Source organism: Homo sapiens, chromosome 9, assembly GCF_000001405.40.
Source record: "Homo sapiens chromosome 9, GRCh38.p14 Primary Assembly".
In the NCBI taxonomy this organism is placed as follows: Eukaryota; Metazoa; Chordata; class Mammalia; order Primates; family Hominidae; genus Homo; species Homo sapiens.
Window position 1 is genome coordinate 121,248,115 of NC_000009.12, and position 19,442 is coordinate 121,267,556.

The 19,442-nt window shown below is 44.9% G+C and overlaps 1 protein-coding gene across 6 annotated transcripts in view, besides 2 other annotated features; it reads left to right on the forward strand.

Moving 5' to 3' along the window:
• The window catches only part of GSN (gelsolin), a 131,360-nt gene that overhangs the window by 46,632 nt on the left and 65,286 nt on the right, over positions 1-19,442 (forward strand). For 4 of the 6 annotated variants that reach the window (XM_047423273.1, XM_047423267.1, XM_047423268.1 and 1 more), the window contains exons 7-8: positions 17,040-17,183; positions 17,547-17,640. The gene's annotated coding sequence lies outside the window, so the exon portion shown is untranslated. Of the gene's footprint in view, positions 1-161; positions 210-17,039; positions 17,184-17,546; positions 17,641-19,292; positions 19,412-19,442 lie in introns of all 6 variants that reach the window. The other 2 variants (NM_001353054.1, NM_001353053.1) reach the window with 2 other exon arrangements.
• Positions 1,706-1,755: an enhancer, noted in NCBI's record as "active region_28921". NCBI's record gives its function as "activates an Ori minimal core promoter by ATAC-STARR-seq in GM12878 lymphoblastoid cells {active_cell/tissue: GM12878}" and the evidence as "EXISTENCE:reporter gene assay evidence [ECO:0000049][PMID:35858748]".
• Positions 13,193-13,692: an enhancer, noted in NCBI's record as "H3K4me1 hESC enhancer chr9:124023585-124024084 (GRCh37/hg19 assembly coordinates)". NCBI's record gives its function as "activates a minimal SCP1, AML or CMV promoter by ChIP-STARR-seq in naive H9 embryonic stem cells {active_cell/tissue: H9 hESC(naive)}" and the evidence as "EXISTENCE:reporter gene assay evidence [ECO:0000049][PMID:30033119]".

Here is a 19,442-nt window from a genome sequence, read left to right on the forward strand (position 1 = left end):
AAAGTATCCCCATTAGCCAGTGATACATAAAGAAGAAAACAATTGTTATAACTTCAAGCCCTTGACTCTTTTTTTTTAGCAGGGGGGTCAGAGTCTCACTCTGTTGCCCAGGCTGGAGTGCAATGATGCAATCTCGGCTCACTGCAACCTCTGCCTCCCAGGTTCAAGTGATTCTCCTGCCTCAGCCTCCTGAGTAGCTGGGATTACAGGTGTGCACCACCACACCCAAGCCCTTGTCTCTTTCCTTAATCCTCCCTCCCTCTCTTTCATCTTCCTCCTTCTCCCTTCTTCCCTTCCCTTCCTTCACTTCCCTTCTCTTGCCTTCCTTCTTTCCTTTTTCTCTCCTCCTCTCCCTTCCCCATCTCGTCCCTCCTTCCTTCCATAAATTTATTGAGTCTTACTATGGGTCAAGACCTAGGCTTGAAACTGGGGGTTTGAAAATACATGAGATCTGGTTACTGCTCTGAAAGAACACAGCAGGGGAACAGGTGTATCCAAAGCTAAAAATGGATACAATATGGAGGCATTCAGAGGCAAGGAGGACATTGAACTGGGCCTTGAAGGATAAGTAACACGACCAGGTAGAGGTCATGGAAATGGGAAAGGCATCCTAGGCAGAGGGAACAGAGAGAGCAAATGCCTTAGAAGACACACAAACATAGATTATTGGTGGGGTGGGCAGGGGAGAAGCCCTGGTGTCTGGGAAAGAAGGCGAGTAGGTGAGGCTGGTGCTAGATCAAGGAAGGCCTTGGAGGCTGTGCTAAGAGGTCTGGAAGGTGATGGGGGCTGTTGAAGATTTTTAGGCAGGGAAATGACAGGGTTATGTTTTTAAGAAAGATCATTTAGAGGCCATCGTGTAGTGGATGATTAGCACGAGATGAGATTGGGGGCACTGAGGCCAGTTAGGAGACTTTTGTGACAATCTAGATGTAAGATGATAACATAGGAGCTGAGGCAATGGGAGATGGTGAGGAGGGGCTTATTTCAAAAGATTGAGGAGATAGACTTGATAGGACTTGGCAACAGAGGTGCAGGCAGGATGATGTCTAAGGAGATGCAAGAGACTGGGCGTGGTGGCTCACACCTGTAATCCCAGCACTCTGGGAGGGTGAGGCGAGTGGATCACCTGACTCCAGGAGTTTGAGACCAACCTGAGCAACATGGTGAAACCTGGTCTGTACAAAAAAAAAAATTTTTTTTTAAATACAAAAATTTAGCCAGGCATGGTGGCATGTGCCTGTGGTCCAAGCTACTTGGGAGGCTGAGGCAGGAGGATCACCTGAGCCTGGGAGGTGGAGGCTGCAGTGAGCCATGATCGTGCCACTGCATTCCAGCCTGGGCGACAGCCTGAGACCCTGTCTCAATAAATAAATAAATAAGATGCAAGAAAGTAACCATGAAGTGGTTCATGCCACTTAATTCCTTCCCAAATAACATGTCCTTATCATCCCTTCCTTTCAGAGGATATATTTCTATTTATCTATTCTTTCTCTCTGATACGACTTTCTCAAGACTGGTTCTCCTTTCTGGTTTGGGCAGCAATATTTTTTTCCACTTCCTGTTTTCTGGTGTCTGATTCCTCAATAAACAAGGTCATGGTGAGAAATAGCCACATGTATACCTGGGGACTTTCTGCCCTGGTCACCAGTGATTGGACCAGGTGGGCACGTGAGCAAGCTGGGCCAATCAGAGTCCTTCTCTGTGTTCTTGAAATTAGGGAAAGAAAATGGCTGCTGCTTTCTTGAAAGAAATGGAAACTAGGTGGCTTTGGCTGATGATTCAAGTGGCTGTTTCTTGAGAAGTAAAAAAGCTGGTTTTTTAGTGAGTGAGAATAATGACGTCTATGCTCAGGGAGAAACAGATGAGAGAAGAAAGAGGGCTGTGTGGTTCCCATAGAACTTGGAGATGATGCTACCTTATCCTGAAGCCGGGATGTAAGTCTAGCCTTTGGCTCCCTGTTGCTTGAGCTAGCTCTGGTCGTACTTTCATACATTTGTCTACAGATGCTGTTACAAAACTCACACACCAATGACTATATCTTCTGGAAGTACCTTTGCCTTTGTGCAATTTACTCTCTAGATCCTTCTCTTTTTTTTTTTTTTTTTTTTGAGATGGAGTCTCACTCTGTCGCCCAGGCCGGAGTGCAGTGGCACAATCTTGGCTCACTGCAACCTCCGCCTCCTGGGTTCAAGTGAATCTCCTGCCTCAGCCTCCTGAGTAACTGGGATTACAGGTGCCTGCCACTACACCCAGCTAATTTTTTGTATTTTTAGTAGAGACGGGGTTTCACCATGTTGGCCAGGCTGGTTTCGAACTCCTGACCTTGTGATTTGCCCGCCTTGGCCTCCCAAATTCTGAGATTACAGGCGTGAGCCACGGCGCCCAGCCGATCTTTCCCTTTTTGGCTTATCACACCTGTTTGGTGTGTGTGTGTGTGCTTTGAGATAGGGTCTGGCTCTGTCACTCAGGCTGTAGTGCAGCTGTGTGATCTTGGCTCACTGCAACCTCTACTTCCCAGGCTCAAGCCATCCTCCTACCTTAGGCTCCCAAGTAGCTGAGACTACAGGCATGTGCCACCACGCCTGGCTTATTTTTTGTATTTTTAGTAGAGATGGGGTTTCACCATGTTGGCCAGGCTGGTCTCGAACTCCCGACCTCATGATTCACCTGCCTCGGCCTCCCAAAATGCTGGGGTTACAGGTGTGAGCCACCATGCCCCTCCAATCCTTCCCTTTTTTGCTTATCATGCCTGCTTGGGGTGTGTGTGTGTGTGTGTGTGTGTGTGTGTGTGTGTGTGCTTTGAGACAGGTCTGGCTCCTACCTTAGCCTCCCAAGTAGCTGGGACTACAGGCACTTGCCACCATGCCTGACTAATTTTTTGTATTTTTTTTTGTAGAGTTGGGGTTTCGCCACATTGTCCAGACTGGTCTTAAACTCCTGAGCTCTAGCTATCCTCCTGCCGCGGCATCCCAGCATACTGAGATTACAGGCATGAGCCACTGCACCCGACCCTGTTTGTTTTTTTAAGTAAATTTTTGAACTGAAGTATAACATACCTACAGCTGATGTGTTCTTTTTTTTTTTTTGAGATGGATTCTCACTCTTCACCCAGGCTGAAGTGCAGTGGCATGATCTCAGTTCACTGCAACCTCCGTCTCCCGGGTTCAAGTGGTTCTCCTGCCTCAGCCTCCCAATTAGCTGAGATTATAGGCACCTGTCACCATACTTGGCTAATTTTTAATTTTTAATTTTTTTTATTTTTAGTTGAGACAGAGTTTCACCATGTTGGCCAGGCTGGTTTCGAACTCCTGGCCTCAAGTGATCCACCCAACTCGGCCTCCCAAAGTGCTAGGATTATAGGCGTGAGCTACCGTGCCCAGCCTGATGTTCATTTTTAAACAACTCATTTGCAATTATTTTTAAAATCATCATTCTAAATTAAATATAAGAAATAATATTGTTATATCACCTCTAAACATTGAAAAATGTGCTGATGCTGGTAGGTAATGGACAATGGAGGTGTTGAGGGTAGGTGAATGGGTGTGGAGAAAGACATACAAATGGCCAGGCGCGATGGCTCACACCTGTAATCCCAGCACTTTGGGAGGCTGAGGCAGGAAGATCACCTGAGGTCAGGAGTTCCAGACCAGCCTGGCCAATGTGGTGAAACCCTGTCTCTATTAAAAATACAAAAAAATTAGCCGGGTGTGGTGGCAGACACCTGTAATCCCAGCTACTCAGGAGGCTGAGGCAGGAGAATCACTTGAACCCGGGAGGCAGAGGTTGCAGTGAGCCGAGATCATGCCATTGCACTCCAGCCTGGGCGACAAGAGCAAAACTCTGTCTCCAAAACAAACAAACAAACAAAAGACATACAAACAATTCAAGTATAATTTGAAAAATTAGAAGCATTTATTCAACAAATGCTTATTCAGTGCCCACTATGTACCAGGCACTGTAAAAAAAAAATGCCAGGAAGTCAGTCCCATAGAACTTAAGTGTTGATGGGGGTATATAAAAAGAGATGTGGCCAAACCAGGAAGGGTCAATTCATTTTACCCCAGGGATAAGAAATGGGGAAGGTAGCATTTGAGCTGGGCTTAAAAGGAGAAGTAGAATTTTGACAGTTGGAGTAGGTAGAAAAAGGGCATTATATGTTCAGAAACCAGCGTGAGCTAAGATATGGGGGAGTGATGGTTCAAGGACACGCTTGGGGAGTTGGGAGAAGACTCCTGTGGCCAGTGGTGGATTATGAGTTTGGGAAGGTGGACAGTGGCAGGAAATGAAGCTGGAGGGGCTCCAGGAGGCAGATTTCAAAAGATCTTGAATGCTACATATGACGGAGACATTTACTGTTCACCAAGTATCTATCTACCTACTTTCCACATTTCCTAGTCTTTTGGCAGTTGGAGGAACCACATGACTAGTTTCACCAATGGGCTATAGGCAAAAGCCACACATGTTAGTTCTGGGCTAAAGCATAAAAGAGTGAGTGTGAGCTCTCCCTTAGCTTTCCTGCCTCACTGTAATGAACAAGGCAGCCACGTCTTCCAAGTGCAACTTCAATATGGTGGCCTCTGCATCAGTCTGGGGTCCATGAGTGATTATGTGGAGCACATGCATTGGATATGTGTCATGAGCAAGAAATAAACTTTTGCTGTATTAAGACACTAGGATTTCGGGGGGGCAATTTGTTACTATAATATAACCTAACTTTTCCTGACTGATACACCAGGGTAAGAAATTCAGAATTTACCCTGGAGGTGGAAAGTAGCTTGTCTTAGTCAGTCTGGGGGGACTATAGGAAAATACCATGAACTGGATGGCTTATAAACAAAAGACATTTATTTCTCACAGTTCTAGAGGCTGGAAGTCTAAGATCAGGGTGCCAGCATAGTTGGGCTCTGGTGAGAGCCCTCTTCTGGGTTGCAGACTACCAGCTTCCATTGTGCCTCACGTGGTGGGAAGAGAGCTAGCTGGGTCTTTAGCCTCTTCTTATAAGGGCACTAATCCCATTCATGAGGGCTCTACTCTCATAACCGAATTACCTCCCAAAGGCCCCACTTCCAAATAGCATCACATTGGGGTTAGAATGTCAGCCTACAAATTTTGGTGGTCACAAGCTTCCAGTCCGTTGCATAACCCTTGACAGGTTTTAAGCAGGTGAGTAATGTTGTCAGATTTGTCAGACAACTGCCATCCAGATTGTCCCTATCTGTTTGTAACAGTGGTGCCATTAGCCATTGTCTCCTCTCAGGAGGGTTTGAGCTTGTTCAGTTCAGCTCCCATATTTCTTGTTATCTTTCCCTTACCAAGTACAGAGGCCCAGAGCTTTCTTGTCACCACTGCTCTGGGCCCAGAGCCCCATTCCCCTGCTATGAGCTTATAGGTTTTGTCCTGCAGCATTATGTAGGTATCAGCAACCTGGAGTCACGGGACAGGTTCATCTCGAAGTTATATGGTATGAGTGGGCATCTCTCCAGCTTGGCAGGCATCAATGTGTTCACTGCTAATGGAGTGACATATTTACCAGCTGCCCACAGTGAAACAAAGTGTGTAGATGAATTTGGTGCAGGAATAGGCGGTTCTCTCTCTATTTGGTGCAGGAACTGGCGGTTCTCTCTCTGGTTATGGCTGAGAGATCTGTGACAATGACTCAAGTCTCATCCTGCTCCTTGTTGCTCAAACAATGTCCCTTGAAACCCTTCTTTGCTGGTTCCATTCACCTGTCTCCACTGAGCTTCAGGTCCTCTTCCTTTTTGGTAAACTACCCTACATCAGCTCCCAGGCTGGCAGGGCTCTTGGGGTGACCCTCCCTTCACTTTCTTCTTCTCCTTTCCTCTGGTCTCCTACTCTTTTGAGAAAATTCTTCTTTCTCCTTTTTTGGCTTCCTCAATAGTACTTCCTTCTTTCTCTCTACCAGTTCCTCTGTTCTCTCGTTCTTTAGCAGAAGACTTGATGACCTATTTAATCTAGAGTCTGGATCATCAGCAATTAAAACAAGCCAAAAAAGAAAAAAGATCATTTCCTTTTCCTTAAGCGGTCAGGAGCGCTCAGCCTTCAAACTGCATAATACAGTTGGGGCAAAAATTGTGGCAGGTAGGCAAAGAAAGGGAAGCAACTACAAAACAGCTCAGCTTTGATCCTAACACAGTTTTAGCCTCCACAGCCTGCTACATGCGTAATAGCAAGACTTGGCTTCCCGTGAAACAAGATCACCTGCTCTAAATGCCTTAGGCTTTATACCATTTACAGAGTCTCTCAGTCCTGGGTTTCATTCTTATTTAAATGTAAGTTCTTTCTCTTCCCTTTTCTCTCTCCCAAGTTCCTGCTCCCTCAGACTCCTGTCTCCGGGGTCCACCACACAGGAGGAAAGAATTATTTAAAAGCAGAGCCTCTTTACCTAAAGAGGTCATACTTCTCTTTAGGATGATTTTAACCTTTCTTCTCCAGACCAGGCTCTGGTCTTTGGCTTTGCACAACCAAAAGACCTTTAGAAAGATTTTTCTCTCCTCTGAAAGAGCAATTTTCTCCCAAAGATGAATTCTTCTGCTAGCCCTTTTAGCAATGAGCACACGTAGCAATATGTTTGTGTCTCCACCACGTTTTATTTCTAATGTTATTATTATTATTTTGAATAGCTAATACATATATCTAGTTTAAAATTCAAAAGCAACAAAAGGATATACACAGAAAAATCTCCTTTTGCCCTGCCTGCCAGCTACCTAGTATTCTCCCCAGGGGTGACCAGTGTTACCAGTTTCTTATATACCCTTACAAAAGTATTTTACGTAAGTACAAGCAAATACATATATCTTCATTTTATTTATTTATTTGTTTGTTTATTTATTTTGAGACAGAGTCTCTCTCTGTCGCCCAGGCTGGAGTCAGTGGCGTGATCTCGGCTCACTGCAAGCTCTGCCCCCTGGGTTCACACCATTCTCCTCCCTCAGCCTCCCGAGTAGCTGGGACTACAGGCGCCCGCCACCACGCCCGGCTAATTTTTTGTATTTTTAGTAGAGACAGGGTTTCACCGTATTAGCCAGGATGGTCTCCATCTCCTCACCTTGTGATCTGCCCACCTCGGCCTCCCAAAGTGCTGGTAGTACAGGTGTGAACCACCGCACCCGGCCATTTATTTATTTTTGAGACAGGGTCTCGCTATGTCACCCAGTCTAGAGTGCAGTGGCACAACAGTCACTGCATCCTCAACTTCCTGGGCTCAAGTGATCCTTCCACCTAGTCCCTGGGTATCTGGGAGTAGGCGTGCGCCACGATGCCTGGCTAATTTTTGTATTTTTTATAGAGACGGGATATTACTGTGTTTCCCAGGCTGGTCTCAAATTCCTGGCCTCAAGTGGTCCTCCCACCTCAGTCTCCCAAAGTGCTGAGATTATGGGCATAAGCCACCATGCCTAGCTCATGTATCTATTCTTTCCCCTCTTTATTTTTAACACATATGCTGATATTCCATACACATAAAAATATAGATATAGCTTGAGAATGCCCCCATTTTACTACATAAGGATTTCCACTTTCTTTGTTTATAATGGAATGGCATTCTACTGTATGCATGTATTATGATTTATTTAAATAAATTTATTTAAATAATCTTCTTTTGGTGAACCTTTAGGTGATTTCCATTATTTTGCTATTGCAAGCAATGATTAATAACTTGTAAATATGCCATTTTGCCCATTTGAGTACATCTGTAGGAAAAATTCCTGGGGGTGGAACTGCTGGATCATAGAGAATAGCGGTTCCAATTGTCCTTTTTCATCTTGCATCAATTTACACTCTAACTAGACATCAAGAAATTCTGTTTTCCCACACAGTGCTTTACATGATTTCCAGAAAAATCCTTCTGGGGTCATGAGGGAATTGTTTGGAGGGAGAGGACTTAGAGATACCTATGAGAGAGATGGTGAGTTCTCGGTAAAGTGGGGCTGGGGGAGATCTACTCTCTTCGGGGGTCAAATGAGCCTTTTTAGAGGAAGATATTTTGAATTGGGTCTTAAGAAATCAAGAGCTCACCAAGTAAGAGCGGGAGGGGAAGGCTATGTGCCTGTGCTGGCTTTTCTTGGGAGTTTAATCTGTTTAATCTGAAGAGATTTTCTTTTTTTGAGAAGAAAAACATTGTATGCCTGAGGATATACCTTGCAGAAATTACCTATAGGAGTAAGGAGCCAAAAGAAAACGTGATGTATATATGCACTTGAATATTATTTAGCCATTAAAAAGAATGAAATTTTGTCATTTGCAGCAACATGGGTGGAACTGAAAGTCATTATGTTAAGTGAAATAAGCCAGGCACAGAAAGACAAATACTGCATGTTCCCACTCATCTGTGAGAGTGAAAACCATGGGTCTCGAGGATGTAGAAAGTAGAATTGTGGCTGGGGAGGGTAAGGAGGAAGAGAGGATGAAGAGAAGTTGGCTGAAGGCTACAAAAATGCAGTCAGATAAAATAAATAAGTTCTAGGCTGGGCTCGGTGGCTTATGCCTGTAATCCCAGCACTTTGGGAGGCTGAGGCAGGTGGATCACCTGAGGTCAGGAGTTCGAGACCAGTCTGGCCAACGTGGTGAAACCCCATCTCTACTAAAAATACAACAACAAAAAAAAAATTAGCTGGCCGTGGTGGCGGAAATCTGTAGTCCCAGCTACTCAGGAGGCTGAGACAGGAGAATCGCTTGAACCCAGAAGGTAGAGGCTGCAGTGAGCCAAGATCGTGCCACTGCACTCCAGCCTGGGCAAAACAGAATGAGACTCCATCTCAAAAAAAGAAAAAGAAAAAAAGGAATAAGTTCTAGAATTTGATAGTACAGTAAATTATAATTAACAATAATTTATTGTATATTTCAAAATAGCTAGAACAGAAGATTTGTAATGTTCCCAACACAAAAAAGAGAAATGTTTGAGGCAATAGAGATCCAAATTACCCTGATTCAATCATTACACATTGTATATGCATGTGTCAAAATATCATTTGTACCCCAAAATATGTACAACTATTATTTATCAATTAAAAAAAAGAGTAAGAAACAGGAAATCATTTGATAAAGGTCAAGTAATCATTATATATATACTCTACGGAAAAGAAAAGTATGATAATTAATAGTAACTATAATAATAGTAGCTATAATTTATTAAGACCTACCATGTGTCAGGCATTAGGTTAAATATTACACATACATTTTAAAAAGCCCATTTAATCCACATACCAATTCTCTGCATAAGGCACTATAATTTCCAGTTTGCAAATGAGAAAATCGGGAATCAAAGATGATAAGTAACTTCCCAAAGTTAACCTAATAAGGAATTTTCAGAGCCAGGCTTCCACGAAGGTATGTGACCCCTGAAACCTGTACTCTTACTTGCTAGAATAACCCCTTCCATTAGCTCATTGAACTCTCAAGAATTCTAGGGGAGGTTCCCTGGAGATGAAGTGATTACAGGTGAGAAAACTGAGGCTCACCCAGATGTGGTGGCTCCCGTCTGTAATCCCAGCACTTTGAGAGGCCAAGGCAGGCAGATCACTTGAGGTCAGGAGTTCGAGACCAGCCTGGCCAACATGGCGAAACCCCATCTCTACTAAAGATAGAAAAATTAGGTGGGTGTGTTGGTGTGCACCTGTAATCTCAGCTACTCAGGAGGCTGAGGCAGGAGAATCACTTGAACCTGGGATGTGGAAGTTGCAGTGAGCCAAGATTGCGTCACTGCACTCCAGCCTGGGTAACAGAGTGAGACCCTGTCTCAAAACAAAACAAAAAAATGAAACAAAACAAAAAGCCAGAGGCTCAGGAGGTTAAATGACTTGTTCAGAAAAAGTATAAAGAACATATGGCAACATGGAAAAATGTTTGCTTAATAATGTAAGGAGGAAAAAATGATAGTCTATAATTGCTTAAATGTGATGATCACAACTGTGTAAAAATAGAAACATCTGTGGGTGTGCTGACTACCCATCCGGAGTATTCTAGGGCAGTCCTCGGTTTACAGTGTCAGACTGTTGTCAGTCCTATATCTGGTGCTATGCTCTGATTTCAGGGAACTTGGGGAAATATGGCTACTTTACTTAAAGATAAGGACTGTATTGAATGAGAGGCTGAGGCAGGCGGATTACTTGAGGCCACGAGTTCAAGGCCAAGGCCATCCTGGCCAACGTGGTGAAACCCTGTCTCTACTAAAAATACAAATATTAGCTGGGCGTGGTGGTGTGTGCCTGTAATCTCAGCTACTCAGGAGGCTGAGGCATGAGAATTGCTTGAACCCAGGAGGAGGAGGTTGCAGTGAGCCGGGATTGCACCACTGCACTCCAGCCTGGGCGACAGAGTGAGACTCCTTATCAGAAAAAAAAAAAAAACTATATTGAAGATATTTAAGTAGTTACTGATTTTTTTTTAAATATGAAACTTGGAAAGACTAAGGGGTGATATCTGATACAAATCTAGAAGATTGCAGAAGCAGACATTTTGAGAAGGTATCTTAGCCTTACTAATTAACGTAAATTGATATCAACATCTTGCCTACTCGTTAAAAGGCTACTCCAGTTATTGGATTTCTGTGGTGATTGTTTTTTAAAGGTTAGCCTTGACCAATTCTATTACAAGTTTTTTTTTTTTCCCAGCAGCATAAGTGAGCAGAATCAAGAGAAGAGACTGATATTTATTTCAAATAGTAAAAGTAAAAAATATCAATTAGTTTCTTCAGAAAGGTTACTTGGAATTTCTTTATTTGATCATCTGTTCATCCTGCCTTCATGTTAGTTCATCTCTTTATTCATTTCATTCATCCATTCATTCATTCAACATTTACTAGTCTCCTAATGTATACCAAGTTCTGTGTTGGGCACTGGGAGCACAATAGTGAACAAGACTTGGTCCCTGCCCATGAGGGATTCACTGATAGAGCTAGAAACATAAACAGGTAAGTATACCACAGTGTGATAAGTGTCAGTGCAATTCATTCAATTCAGTGTGTATTGAGGGTCTGATCTGTCCAGGGTGCTGTGCTGGGCATTTTCACAGGAAGCAGAGATTGAGATATCTGGCCCTGCCCTCAGGGAGCTCGAAGTCTAGTGTGGGAGATGGTAAACAACCCAGTAATGAAATCATTACAAATAACCATCACTTACAAGGGAATTAAGCAGAGTTCTGGAGTGGAGAATAACGAGACAGGGGAGCCTATTTCAGCAGAATGGTCCAGAAAGTACTATGATGGAGGCATGTGCAAGGAACTGTGAAACCACGGAGGGGCTGCTAATGTAATACACCCTGGAGGAGACAGGGAAGGCTTTGCAAGGAGGGTCCTCTAAAACTGAGCCTGAAAAAATAAAGGAGAGTTAAACAGGGGGAAAGTATTAGGACACGCAGTCCCAAGAAAGAGAGCTGGGGTGCCAAGGTTTGAAGGTTTTGGGGTGATACAAAGCATGACCTGACAGGAACCAGCAGGATTCTGTGGCATAGGGGCATGGGGTTCAGGTGGGAAGGGGATGAGATGAGGCTGGAGGGTTAAAGCAAGGCCAGATCATGTGTGGCCACCAACGCCAGGCTAAAGAAGCTCAGAGCTTGTCTGGATTAGTGATAAAAAGTAGAGCTTAAGAGCCGTGACTGTTGGCACCGGGGATTCCCAGAGCCTTTCGTGGGTCTCATGAAGCCAGACTGCATCTGCTGTATTAATATTTTATGCCATGATCAAGTAGTATACTTTAAAAGAGAGATCACAGCTTGCTGCTGAAGATTTAACTGCTTTTCTTCTTCAGCTCTAGGGAAAAACAGGCTTGAAAGTCTTTCTGGGGTACTTCACCTTAAACTGTTTAAAGGCTCCTCCCCCATCCCTACAGGGGGACATGTAGGGCATCTGGAGACAAGAAAGAGGGACAGGTATACAAACAAATTTGATATAAGATTTCTAGCCAGCTAAGACTTTGGAGAATGGCTGTGTGAGAAGCTGAGCGTGAGTCTGGACTAAGCACAGAGGAAGCTGGACAGCTCCCTGAGACCCCAAGGGGGCTCACCTAGAGACCTGGATCTGCAGGGTCATCTGGCTGAGGTCAAGGTCAAAGCAGCAAGACTGCGCCAGGGAGAAAGCAAAACTCTAGACTGCCTGCTTGGTGTGGCAGGATGAACCCCTTCTCGCTGGGACTGCCTCAGCCTCAGAATTTGGGGAGCATTCAGGAGGAGAGGAAATCTCCATCGGGGAAACGTGCTTCTTGCTCATTAGGTATTGATTTCTCAAGTTGGTGGTTTTGGTTTGAGAAAAAATTAAGTGAAGTGATTGCATTTGCACTGTGCATTTTTGAAGACATTCTTATAAATTCCAGATGTAAAGTAAGACAACCTAGAGTGACTTGACCTAAGAGCTAACGTTTTGAAAGGCAATTGAATGGATCTTATGAGACAAATGCTCTCTGGTTCTCCCTGGGACAGGAAACCTGTGCTGGGGCTAGTGCAGCACAACCAGGGGCTGGAAAAGCTCCTGGTTTTATGAGCCAGGTATAATCTCTCTTGGAGTTACTTTGTTCTATTGTCCCAGTTTGCCGATGACACAATGGAGACTCAGAGGAGTGGATGACTTGCCCAGGGTCATTTGCAAGGTAGAGGAGACACGGGGTGGAACTCGGATGTTCTACTTCCCTGGGCAAAGCTATTAGAACTTCACAGCAAAGTCTGCTACTGCTGACAACAGTGATGAGAGAGGAGAAAAACCAGGAAAAAGAAACAGAAGTGCAAAAGAACAGGGAGAAGGGAATGTAAGAAGGAGAAAGTGGAAGGGGAGGAGGAGAAAGGAGGGAGATCAACTTTGGACTGAAACTTTAATCCAATCATCAGTTTTTTTGTTTGTTTGTCTGTTTGTTTGTTTTAAGTTTCTCTAAATTCCTAAGAAGGTAATGCATTGCTGGCCCGATTGTGTTTCAACTCCAAGAAACAGCACAACATTTGAAAAGCCCATTGTTCGGTGTTGTGATAATATAACTCTCTGTAAATGGTGCAGTCCACTGTACAAAGTACTGCCCCCTCCCATCCCACTGGTGGCCTGCGGGGACAGCTGAATGCCTTCTGGTCCGCTGAGCCCAGAAGAGTGGGGCTGGGCTTTCAGAAACAGCTGGGCTGATTCATCTAGAACAAAAGCCAGCTCTTCCTGCTAAATCCCTGGCAGGCATGGGCTGTTAGGGCTGTGGGCCCCTGTGCCCCTCCACAGGAAACGTCTTGATTTTGCTCCAACAGTGTCAGTCTCCTGTGTGAGCCTGCGACAGCTTCCTCCTGCCCAGTGCCTTCATTCAGCCTGGCATGCTCCCAGCCCCACATGAAAGGCAGTGGCTTTGGAGCAAAACCTGGGTTCCAGTCCCAGCTCTGCCATTCCCTAGTTGTGAAATGTAAATAAGAGATTTCACCTTGCTGTGCCTCAGTTTCTCGATCTATGAACTGGGAGTGAGAGTAGTTCCAATCTGAGAAATTTTCGTCAGCTTTGGAGGAGATAATGCCCAGAGCAGGCATCCATGAATATGGTTTCCTCCCGTTTTTTATAAGACCCATCCATCTTGCCATATGGCTTGGTCTCCCGTAACTCAGTGGATGTACCCTGTATCCCTGACACACTGGCTCAAGCTCATTCACCTTAAACACCTCCACGCCCGTACCTAGGGGGTTCCCATGATGACACCAGCCACTGTTGACAGAGCCCTTTATATGCCTGAGGCCTTGACACAGAGAATTCATTTAATTTCCCCATAATTCTTTGAGTGGATATTATCATCAGAGGAAGAAACCAAGGCTCAGAGAGGTTGAGTAACTCAGGGTGTCCTGTCCTTCAAGGCCTCTGAGTACAAAAATAGCACCATCTCCAAGATTTTTTTGGTGTGGGTGTGTTTAAGGGATTTTATGAATTACTTTTTGTTTCTAAAGCACAGCAGTTCACAATCTTTCTGAGAGTAGTTCCACATTTCTTGAACAGCTCCAAATACCTTCCATACAAAGAAACAACGAGCTGTAGTCAACCATTATATGAAGTGTACAGAGAGGGGCCTAACATCAGATCCTAACGTTGTCGAGATGAAATTAAATAATTCTTGATCCTGAGAAGGGAGCATGGAAAAGACCTTACCTTTCCCTTGGCCTTCTTTCACTCTGGCTATAGAAAGAATCTGGGCTTTGGAGACAGACCTGGATTCAAATCCCAGCTCTACCACTCACCTAGCTGTGGAAGCTTAAGCAGATTACTTATCCTTTTTGAGCCTATTTATTTTATTTGTAAAATTGGAGACAAGAATACCTAACTTAGAGGGCAATTGTCAAGCTTAATTGAAATAATAAAGTGACCGGCATAGAGTAAGCACTCAGAATGTGGCAGTTATAATTATGCTTTTAGTTATTATTATGCATGCCACTGTCATAGGGCCAGCTCTGTTAAGCTGTGGAGGAAGAACCTCCAGGCAGTTTTGCTCTTTCCTGAAAAATCTAACCTGGGAGGCTGGCTAGCTGGGAAATCCTCTGCTGTGTAACAGTGAAGTCACTGATGCTTATGCTGTTTAGCATCTTACTGGCATTTATTGGGCATAATTACAGAATCATAGCTGCTAGGAATCCAAGTCTTAGGGCTGAGCTGGCAGTGCTTATATGGAACACAAAGTTTTAAGTTCTCATTAAAATAGTGGGACAAACACATTCCTGCCTGGGGCATTCAGAACATGTCTAGAATAATGGCTCTTGAAATTCAAAGAGCAACCCTCTCTTGAGTCCTCCCGTAGTGTCCCCAATCACTCTATCTGACCAAACCCATCTGTGGTCACTTTCCTCATTCACCAATTCATTAATCCAATAAAAACGTGCTAAACATCTGCTCTGTGCCAAGCACTATTTGACACTGGGATGATGTCGGAAAACCAAGCAAACACATTTTCTCCTTCCACTGAGCTGCCAGTCTAATGAGATATACACATAAATGGACAATCTGAATGCAGTGAGTCGAATGGGGGAAGCCCAGGTTTTGAGCAGTGGTGTGCTGGTAAATGTTAAACGAAAGGCTCTTGGTGGAGGGAGAAGGAAAACCCTGATTTATAGCCTTTCCTGATCTCCATGGTGTAAATATTCCCACCGTGGGGACTGGGCTACCAGCATGATGTCACTGAGTGTGGAGTTGCGAGTAGAAATGCAATTGCACACAATTATACAGTATTTCTACCATATAGATAAATGGTGAAAATAAGAGCACAGATAATAGTGAAATATAGTAAAATAATTATGAAGTACTAAGTTTTGAGAATTTATTACCTCTATTTATGTATTAGTCATTTTCACACTGCTATAAAGACATACCTGAGACTGGGTAATTTATGAAGGAAAGAGGTTTAATTGACTCACAGTCCTACATGGCTGGGAGGCCTCAGGAAACTTACAATCATGGTGGAAAGGGAAGCAGGCAAGTCTTACGTGGTGGCAGGAGAGAGAGTGTGTGAAGGAGGAACTGCCAAACACTCCTAAAAGAATCAGGTCTCGGCTGGGCAAGATGGCTCACGCCTGTAATCCCAGCACTTTGGTAGGCTGAGGCAGGTGGATCACCTGAGGTCGGGAGTTCGAGACCAGCCTGACCAATATGGAGAAACCCCGTCTCTACTAAAAATACAAAATTAGCCGGGCGTTGTTGCGGGTGCCTGTAATCCCAGCTACTAGGAGGCTGAAGCAGCAGAATCGCTTGAACCTGGGAGGTGGAGGTTGCGGTGAACCGAGATTGCGCCATTGCACTCCAGCCTAGGAACGAGAGGGAAACTCCATCTCAAAAAAAAAAAAAAAAAAAAATCAGGTCTCATGAGAACTCACCATCATGAGAACGGCATGGGGGAAACTGCCCCCATGATCCAATCACCTCCCTTCCACCAGATTCCTTCCTTGACACATGGGGATTATGGGGATTACAATTCGAGATGAGATTTGGGTGGGAACACAGAGCCAGACCATATCAATTTATAATTTACTTAATTATAAGTTTATATAGATTGTTATTGAAGGCTGTGCTTAATACAGCCTTAATACAGCTGGGTGTAAGAATGCATGGAAATTTGGCCAGGTGTGATGGCTTACTCCTATAATCCCAGCACTTTCAAAGGCTGAGGTGGGAGGATCTCTTGAGCCCAAAAGTTTAAGACCAGTCTGGTAACATAGAGAGACTTCATCTCTACAAATAACATAAAAATTAGCCAGGCCTGGTGGGATGTACCTGTGGTCCCACCTACTTGGGAGGCTAAGGCAGGAGGATTGCTTGAGCCCAGAGGTCAAGGCTGCAGGAAGCCATGTTTGTGCCACTGACTCCAGCCTGGGTGACAGTGAAATCTTGTCTCAAAAAAATCCACAAAAATTCATGGAAATTGAGCAATCAGTTCGTAAGAAAACAACACTAAACACACTAAATCAGTTCTTAAGAACACAACACTAGCACAACACTAAAGGGGACCGAGGCTGGAGAAAATAACAGTCTCCTTTCCTTCTTCCAGCTCTGTCTTTCTCTGACCTCCACACCTTTGCTTATTCTGTGCTCTTAGCAGAAGATGCTGTTCCCTTCCTCACCTCCACTCTTATTCTTTCCATCCTTTCAAGGCTGACTGAATCCAAGCCGTTGTCTCTGCTTGGCTTCCCCTCCCCTTTTCTCTGGGAAGTGCACCCCCTCCACCCACAGGTTACAGTGGGAGCAGCCAGGTTTGTGCAGTAGGACCCTGTCACTCGGGCCAGAGTTAATTAGATAAAGGGTAGGCATCTGATCCAACTTAGAATGTGGACTACAAACAAAGATTCCAGCTTGCTGCTGGTAAAAGCCATTTTCTGGAAAGCAGAAATGCTTGTGTGATGTGAGCAGACAGGCAGAGATGAAAGATGGGGGAGAGAGTACTTTCTGGGTTCCCTTTAGTACTCAGGTCCTGCTTGTGGTCTGATCCTGAGGCCCAGCTGCACCCCTGCCCTAGTGTTCCATGGGATATTTCAGGATCTCCTGAGAGTGCTCTCTCAAGTAATCCCTTGTATGAAATCCCTGTCTCATCCTCTGCTTCTAGGGACAAACTACAAGGCATTCGATGCTCAACAAATACTTGTGCTGATAACTTCTCTTTCTGAAGCCAGCTCCAGGAGAGGTCTGTAATCAGAAGAGCCCCTGAACCCTGAAGCCTCCTGGGCTGCCCAGCCCAGGCATCTCCTCTGTGAGTTTTGCGACACCCTTCTAGTCATTTAACGAGCCTCATTGGCTTTCTCTGTGAATACGATGGAAGATGGCCACCTCAAAATGGCAGCCTTGGCCTTCAGAGATCATTGGTCCTCACAGACCCAGTTAATTAACCATGATTGTCATGTCTCAACTTCCAGCTCCAAATTCTAATAGTCCAGCTTTTTTCTGCCGTCCACTCCTCATGCTGTCAACTGTGTTGTGGGGGAAGGTTACAGTACAAACCTGGGTGCAAGTGAGGGCCATCCCCTTGGGTGGGAAGAGGCGTTCTCAGAGGAGAGAGCAGGTACCCCCAGATTGTCTAATGCCTGGCCTGTGTGTGGCCTTCATTTCTCCCCAGCCTCACTCTGGGAAGGAGGTGGTCTTCTGGCAAAAGAAGATATCAAAGTTCTTCCATCAGAGGAGATCCTTATCAGCAAGACATTCACTCTGAGGTGAGGATCCAGGACAAACAGGCCTTACCTTACCTAGATCCAATGGGGGGAGAAGTACAAAGAGGTATCTAGAAAGGAATGAAGACAGGATACCAAGAAGACTTCTAGGCATCCATGAAAGGCAGACTTGATATATCCTGCCAGCTATAAAATACACATGTTGAGTCATAAAGCAAAGCACCAGGAGATTTCTAGAAGTGTTCCTAGAGGAGCACTCCCATGTAAGTATTGGTTATCATCATCACAATCATCATCAATCAATCATCATCATCATTATCTTCATTATCATTTCTAATGATTCCTGGTGATACCCTGTTCCCATGTTCCTCTCCAGCCACCAAATGGAGCAATTACAGGGTTATGGGTAGGCATCTGACCCAGCTTAGAATATGGAACCTTAGATCTAGCTTAGAATGTGAACCCTTTTGCTCTCCTGGCCTCAGTTTCTCCATCTCTAAAGGGAGGAGTTGGAGCAGACATTCTCCAATGTTTCCTCCATCGTGATGTGGTATTCTCCAGTTCTATGGGGACACAGATTCAGAGTTCCACCTCCCTTTGTCTGAGAGCAGTTGCTGGGGCTGGAAATGATATGTTAGATAATTCCAAGGCATGTGTATGCCGGGGCTTGTAATCAAAGATTCCAGAGCCAAATAAGCCTGTGTTTTTGCTTTTCTCCCCAGCAGCCTTGCATTGGGCCCCAGGCAGCCTCTGGAGAAAGCAGAGAGTAGCAGAGATGGTGTGAGCCTCCCTGCGGGGTGGATACCTTGCTTGTATTCTCAGAGAAAGTGGAACTGGGCAGAATTTCCCAAGCCAGGAAAGGTGGCAGAGTGTGACATAAGACATTGAGCAAAGAAGCGAGGGCCAAGGACTCAGGCATAGAAGAGTAGACTGCACAGTATCAGTAGTGTGACCTCCAGAGAGTACTTAACCCTTTCTGTGGGCTTGGCCTGCTCATCTGAAAAATACACATGGTAATGCCTCCCTTAGGAGGCCAGGTAGGGAGGTGAGAATTAAAGTCGGTAATACGTGGGAAGCCCAGAGCATGGCATGAGGCATTCAAGAAATGGTTCTTGTATTTACTGGTGTTGAACAAAGAGAGAATGGCAGGAGGAAGAGCCAGGGTGAGATTCCCTGGGTCCTGTGGCTTCCCTGGCTGCTATTCAATGGAAAAACCAGGGAGTGAGCACTGTGCTCTTGGCTTCTGTGCTACTTAAACAACAGCCTTTTCTGCTCTGATCCCCAGCACCCGGCAATTACTGACTCTAGTACATTTTACCTTGTGTTAAGAGGGAGCTTTACCCTGGCTGAACATGGGGCTGCTGCCAGCACCCAGGCTGGGAATGGACATCTCTGTCATGTGGTGCAGTCTCCTGTGGAGTGTGTGAATCCTTCCAAACCGGAGTCACGCGGCAACTCCAAAAGTCCTGGGAACTCATGTGTGCACCAGGACTGCTGGGAGGCCGTCTTATGCCTTGCTGCATTATAAACGGCTATCGTCTCAAATGCATATGAGATGTTGTTGAAATCAACAAAGTATTACATTTGCTTAAAATTGACCTTGCACTCATCTTTCTACCCAATGTGGATTTCCTCAATCTCCTAAAACAGTATCTGCCATGACACTAATAAGAACATCCCTTCCGTTTATGCAGAAGCCACGGTCCCTGTCATTGTGCTGAGAGTCTTTTTCTCACTGAGTCTTCTCAACCGCCCCATGAAGCGGCAATTCAGGATGCCCATTTGACAAACGAGGAAACGGAGACTTAGACATGTGAGCTCGCTTGCCCAAAGTTACAGGACTA